The sequence below is a fragment of the Homo sapiens genome, chromosome 20 (genome assembly GCF_000001405.40).
Source record: "Homo sapiens chromosome 20, GRCh38.p14 Primary Assembly".
Classification (NCBI taxonomy): Eukaryota; Metazoa; Chordata; class Mammalia; order Primates; family Hominidae; genus Homo; species Homo sapiens.
The window spans coordinates 41,756,420-41,763,911 of NC_000020.11; positions in this window are offsets into that span (position 1 = coordinate 41,756,420).

Consider the following 7,492-nt stretch of genomic DNA (forward strand, 5'->3'; position numbering starts at 1 on the left):
CTCCTCACCAATACTTATTATCTGTATTTTTGATTATGGACCATATAGTGGGTGTGAAGTAGTATCTCATTGTGTTTTGACTTGCATTTCCCCTGACAGCTACTGATGGAGTTTTCACAATATAAATTTTGTAATTCTTTTGTTAAATATCCCCTCAAATATTTTATTCTTATTGATGCCATTATAAATAGAATTGTTTGCTTAGTTTTCCTTTTTGGGTTGTTCATTGCTAATGTATAAAAATACAATTGATTTTTGTTTTCATTTTTGTTTGACTTCCAACATTTATTTTAAGTTCAGGGGTACCTGTGTGGGATGTACAGGTTTGTTACATAGGTAAATGTGTGCCATGCTAGTTTGCTGCATATATCATCCCTTCAGCTAGGTGTTAAGCCCAGCATTCACTAGCTGTTCTTCCTGATGCTCTCCTCTGACAGGCCCCAGTGATTGTTGTTCACCCCTATGTGTCCATGTGTTATCATTCAGCTCCTACTTATTAGTGAGAACATGCAGTATTTGATTTTCTCTTCCTGTGTTAGTTTGCAGCTCCATCTATGTCCCTGCAAAGGACATGATCTTGTTCCTTTTTATGGCTGCATAGTATTCCATGGTGTCTATGTACGACATTTTCTTTATTCAGTCTATAATTGATTGGCATTTAGGTTGATTTCATGTATTTGCTATTGTAAATAGTACTGCAGTGAACATACACTTGCGTGTCTCTTTATAATAGAATGATTTATATTCCTTTGGATATATACCCAGTAATGGGATTGCTGGGTCAAATGATATTTCTGCCTCTAGGTCTTTGAGGAATTGCCACACTCTCTTCCACAATGGTTGGACTAATTAACACTTCCACCAACAGTGTAGAAGCATTCCTTTTTCTCCACAACCTTGCCAACATCTGTTTTTTTTTTTTTTTTTTGACTTTTTAATAATGGCCATACTGACTGGTGTGAGATGGTATCTCATTGAGATTTTGATTTGCATTTCTCTGATGATCAGTGATGTTGAGCTTTTTTTCATGTGTTTGTTAGATGCATGTATGTCTTCTTTTGAGAAGTGTCTTTTCATGTTGTTTTCCTACTTTTAATGGGGTTGTTTTTTTCTTGTAAATTTGTTTAAGTTTTTTGTAGATGCTGGATGTTAGACCTTTGTCAGATGATGGATTGCAAATAGATTGTTTACTGTGATGATAGTGTCTTTTGCTGTGCAGAAGCTCTTTAGTTTAATTAGATCCCATTTGTCAATTTTTGCTTTTGTTGCAATTGCTTTTGGCATCTTTGTCATTAATTTTTTTCCCATGCCTATGTCCTGAATGGTATTGCCTAAGTTTTCCTCTAGGATTTTTATAATTTTGGGTTTTACATTTAATCTTTAATCCATCTTGAGTTGATTTTTGTATATGTTTAAGGAAGGGGTCCAGTTTCAATTTTCTGCATTTATTATATAGGGAACCCTTTCCCATTGCTTGTTTTTGTCAGGTTTGTGAAAAATCAGATGGTTGTAGGTGTGTGGTCTTATTTCTGGGTACTCTATTCTGTTCCATTGGTCTGTGTGTCTGTTTTGGTACCAGTACCATGCTGTTTTGGTTTCTGTAGGCTTGTGTAGTTTTAAGTTAGGTAGTATGATGCCTCTGGCTTTGTTCTTTTTGCTTAGGATCATCTTGGCTATTCAGGCTCTTTTTTGGTTCCATATGAATTTTAAAATAGTTTTTTCTAATTCTGTGAAGAATGTCAATTGTAGTTTAATGGGAATAGCATTGAATCTATAAATACAATTGATTTTTGTATATTGATTTTATATCCTCAAACCTCGCTAAACATTTATTAGTTCAAATTATTTTTCAGTGGTTTTCTTAGAATTTTCTGTATATAAGATTCTTTCATCTTAAATAGAGATAATTTACTTATTTTCTAATCGGGATGCCTTTTTTTTCTTTTTCTTGCCTAATTGGTCTTGCTAGAACCTCCAGTACAATGTTAAATATAAGTGAACATCCTTGTCTTGTTCCTGATCTTAGGGGGAAAGTATTTAGTCTTTCATTATTTACTATGATGCTGGCTATGAGTTTTTCATAGATGCCCTTTATGAAGTTGAGAAAATTCTCTTCTATTTCTTGTTTATGAAGTATATTTATTTTGATAAATATTTGATTTCCCTCCATCTCTTGAGGTGATCATTTGGTTTTTGTCCCTTATTGATATGGTACCTTACATTAATTGATCTTCAGATGCTAAGCCAACCTTGTGTTTCTGAGATAATTGTACTTTGTCATGGTAATATGATCCTTTTTATATATTGCTGGATTAAGTTTGCTAGTGTTTTTTTGAGCATGTTCTGTGTCTATATTCATTAGAGCAATTGGCCTATAGTTTTCTTTTCTTATGATATCTTCATCTGGTTTGGGCATCAGGGTAATGCTGGCCTCATAGAATGAGTTGGGAAATGTTACCTCCTCTTCTAATTTTTGAAGGAGTTTGTGAAGAAATGGTTTTACTTATTTTTTAAATGTTTGGTAGAATTTACCAGTAAAGTCATGTGGGCCTGGGCTTTTCTTCGTGACATGTTTTTAACTTACGAATTCAGTCTTTTGACTTGTTATATATCTACTCAAACTTTCTATTTCTTCTTGAGTAAGTTTTAATAGTTTGTCTGTTTCATATAAGTTATCTAATATGTTGGCATACATTTGTTCACAATACTACCATGTAATCCTTTTTCTTCCTGTAAGGCCATTAGTAATGTCTCTTGTTTCATTCTTGATTTTAGTAACTTGAGTCTTTCTCTTTCTCTCTTCTATTTTTAACTAACAGTTTGTCAGTTTTGTTCATCTTTTCAAATAATCAACTTTTGCTTTTGTTGATCGTCTTTTAAAATTTGCTCTTTCACTAATTTCTACGTAACCTTTAGTACTTCCTTCTACTTGCTTTGGGCTTAGTTTTCTCTACTGTTTTTTGTTTACAATTTTTACCTGAGAGCTCTCCCTTAATGAGAAATTTGCACTCAAATGCCCATCTCAAGCTCTGCTCCTAGGAAACTTGACCTAAGACATTCCAGGCAGAAATTTCCTCTTACCCCAGCATTTGGCCACTCTTTCTCCAGCTCCTTCTCTCATCTCTGTTTCTCCCTACTTTCCCAAATGTAGTTTAATGGTATAGACTTCCAAGGCCCAGACCTTAGGACCATAAAAGACCCAATTTACTTCTCCTGGGCTTGAGAAAGACATGCTTCTCTTAAGTAGCAGAAGCCAATAATAAGGTTGAGTTTTCTTATGCTGCTACATTAAATCCTTAATATAACTCTCCCTATTATATTAGGAGGTCACATGTTCACTAGCTATTTTTATATCTTTTGTAAGTTATCACTTTCTGTTATTTACCATTTGTTTGGTAATTTATGTCTCTATGAGTAATGCTAACCTTTTGTCTGTAACAAACATATGTTGAAAATATTTTTCCAAGTTTATTTATTGGTCACACAGAAGGTTTATGTTTTTTTTTTGTTTTTTTGTTTTTTGTTTTTTTGAGACAGAGTCTTGCTCTGTCACCCAGGCTGGAGTGCAATGGTACGATCTCAGCTCACTGCAACCTCCTCCTTCTGGGTTCAAGCGATTCTCCTGCCTTAGCCTCCCAAGTAGCTGGGATTGCAGGCACCTGCCACCATGCCTGGGTAATTTTTGTATTTTTAGTACAGATGGGGTTCCGCCATGTTGGCCAGGCTGGTCTCGAACTCCTGACCTCAGGTGATCTGCCCGCCTTGGCCTCCCAAAGTGCTGGGATTACAGGCATGAGCCACTGTGCCTGGCCCTACATTTTTATGTAGTACAATCTGTCAGTCTTTCCTGTTTGGTTTCTGTTATTGACGTGATGATTTAAAAATGCCTTCCCCATCCTGGAGTTATAAAACTATTTACCTAAATTTCCTTATGGTATTCTTTTGCATACCCTTTTTATTTTTACATCTTTGATTGATTTTTTTTTGTGTGTGTAAAGAGTGAGATAGGCATCCAGCTTAATTTTTTCTCCAAAGGACTAGTAAATTGGGAGAGGTGTACCAGAGTGTTTTCCTAGGTCTTGATTCTATGATAGTAGCCATGTGAAGTTAAGTAAGTTAATTCCCTTCCCCAAGCCCTATTTTCTTATCTGTAAAATGAGGATAAAATGGCAGTTATCTCACAGCGTTGTTGTGAGAATTACAGGAGAAACTACATGTAAGGCATTGCCTGCACTTAAGTGTTAGCTATTTTTATTATGTAGTTCTAGATACTAGCTATAGATATTAGCTGTTTTTATTATGTGGCTCTGTTCTGATAGCTGTGTGATATCTCTTCTTCCTGCCCATTTCTATGAGAGTTTTGTTGGTTCAAAGAGTTCTTAGAAACATTTGTTCCCTAATTAAAAATGGAAAATTATTTGTACAACCTCAAATGCCCTCAAAACAGATAATAATAATAATAAAAATAATAATAGTAATAGACAACGGCTATTTTGCACACACATATGGGAACAGTGGGAGCAAGAGATGTGGGTTTATGTGTTTTCCTTGACTACAAGTTGTAAAAGCCAAGAGAGCTCAAGAAGAGATCCAATCAACATCACCTCTTGCTCAAATGTAAATTGCAAAAGAAACTCAGTTGCAAAGTGCCCAAGCATATGCTCAGATAATTTCCAAAGTTTGTTTTTAGTTTCTACATTGGCAAGAGAGCAAGTACTTTTCTACTTCCAGTGTCTTCAGGGGCTGGAGACTTCTCTATTTCCTCTTTTGCATACACTTGGCCTATCAATTATTTAATAATCAATTCTCCAGCACACTTCCTATTGATTTCCTTTCATTTTGAAGTTTCCTTTTTTTTTTTTAAATTATACTTTAAGTTCCAGGATACATGTGCAGAACATGCAGGCTTGTTACATAGGTATACATGTGCCATGGTGGTTTGCTGCATCCATCAACCCATCATCTAGGTTTTAAGCCCCACATGCATTAGGTATTTGTCCTAATGCTATCCCTCCCCTTGCCCCCCACCCCCTGACAGGCCCCAGTGTGTGATGCCCCCCTCCCTGCGTCCATGTGTTCTTATTGTTCAACTCCCACTTATGAGTGAGAACATGCGGCGTTTGGTTTTCTGTTTGGTTTGTGTTAGTTTGCTGAGAATGATGGTTTCTAGCTTCATCCATGTCCCTGCAAAGGACATGAACTTATCCTTTTTTATGGCTGCATAGTATTCCATGGTGTATATGTGCCACATTTTCTTTATCCAGTCTATTATTGATGGGCATTTGGGTTGGTTCCAAGTCTTTGCTATTGTGAATAGCGTTGCAATAAAAATGGATGTGCATATGTCTTTACAGTAAAATGATTTATAATCCTTTGGGTATATACCCAGTAATGGAATTGCTAGGTCAAATGGTATTTGTGGTTCCAGATCCTTGAGGAATTGCCACACTGTCTTCCACAATGGTTGAACTAATTTACCCTCCCACCAACAGTGTAAAAGCATTCCTATTTCTCCACATCCTCTCCAGCATCTGTTGTTTCCTGACGTTTTAATGATCGCCATTCTAAGTGGTGTGAGATGGTATCTCATTGTGGTTTTGATATGCATTTCTCTGATGACCAGTGATGATGAGCCTTTTTTTTTTTCCATATGTTTGTTGGCCACATAAATGTCTTCTTTGAGAAGTGTCTGTTCATATCCTTCACCCACTTTTTGATGGGGTTGTTTGTTTTTTTCTTGTAAATTTGTATAAGTTCTTTGTAGATTCTGGATATTAGACCTTTGTTGGATGGATACATTGCAAAAATTTTCTCCCATTCTGTAGGTTGCCTATTCACTCTGATGATAGTTTCTTTTGCTGTGCAGAAGCTCTTTAGTTTAATTAGATCACATTTGTCAATTTTGGCTTTTGTTGCAATTGCTTTTGGTGTTTTAGTCATGAAGTCTTTGCCCATGCCTATGTCCAGAATGGTATAGCCTAGGTTTTCTTCTAGGGTTTTTATGGGTTTAGTTCTTACGTTTAAATCTTTAATCCATCTTGAGTTAATTTTTGTATAAGGTTTAAGGAAGGGGTCCAGTTTCAGTTTTCTGCATACGGCTAGCCAGTTTTCCCAACACCACTTATTAAATAGTGAATCCTTTCCTTATTGCTTATTTTTGTCAGGTTTGTCAAAGATCAGATTATTGTAGGTGTGTGATGTTATTTCTGAGGCTTATGTTATGTTCCATTGGTCTATATATCTGTTTTGTAACCAGTACCATGCTATTTCGGTTACTGCAGCCTTGTAGTTTGAAGTCAGGTAGCATGATGCCTCCAGCTTTGTTCTTTTTGCTTAGGATTGTCTTAGCTATACAGGCTGTTTTTTGGTTCCATATAAAATGTAAAGTAGTTTTTTCTAATTCTGTGAAGAAATTCAATGGTGGCTTGATGGGAATAGCATTGAATCTATAAATTACTTTGGGCAGTATGGCCATTTTCACAATATTATTTTTTCCTATCCATGAGCATGGAATGTTTTTCCATGTCTTTGTGCCCTCTCTTATTTCCTTGAGCAGTGGTTTGTAGTTCTCTTTGAAGAGGTCCTTCACATCCCTTGTAAGTTGGATTCCTAGGTATTTTATTCTCTTTGTAGCAATTGTGAATGGGAGTTCACTCATGATTTGGCTGTTTGTCTGTTATTGGTGTATAGGAATGCTTGTGATTTTTGCACATTGATTTTGTATCCTGAGACTTTGCTGAAGTTGCTTATCAGCTTAAGGAGATTTTGGGTTGAGACGACAGGGTTTTCTAAATATACAATCATGTCATCTGCAAACAGAGACAATTTGACTTGCTCTTCTTGCTATTTGAATAATCTTTATTTCTATCTCTTGCCTGATTGGCCTGGCCAGAACTTCCAGTAGTTGAATAGGAGTGGTGAGAGAGGGCATCCTTGTCTTGTGCTGGTTTTCAAAGGGAATGCTTCCAGCTTTTGCCTATTCAGTATGATATTGGCTATGGGTTTGTCATAAATAGCTCTTACTATTTTGAAATATGTTCCATCAATACCTAGTTTATTGTTTTTAGCATGAAGGGGTGTTGAATTTTACCAAAGGCCTTTTCTGCCTCTATTGAGACAATCATGTGGTTTCTGTCATTGGTTCTGTTAATTTGATGGATTATGTTTATTGATTTGTGTATGTTGAACCAGCCTTGCATCCCAGGGATGAAGCCAACTTGATTGTGGTGGATAAGCTTTTTGATGTGCTGCTGGATTTTGTTTGCCAGTATTTTATTGAGGATTTTTGCATTGATGTTCATAAGGGATATTGGCCTGAAATTTTCCTTTTTTGTTGTGTCTCTGCCAGGTTTTGGTATCAGGATGATGCTGGCCTGATAAAATGAATTAGGGAGGAGTCTCTCTTTTTTTATTGTTTGGAATAGTTTCAGGAGGAATTATACCAGCTCCTCTTTGTAACTCTGGTAAAATTTGGCTGTGAATCTGTCTGGTT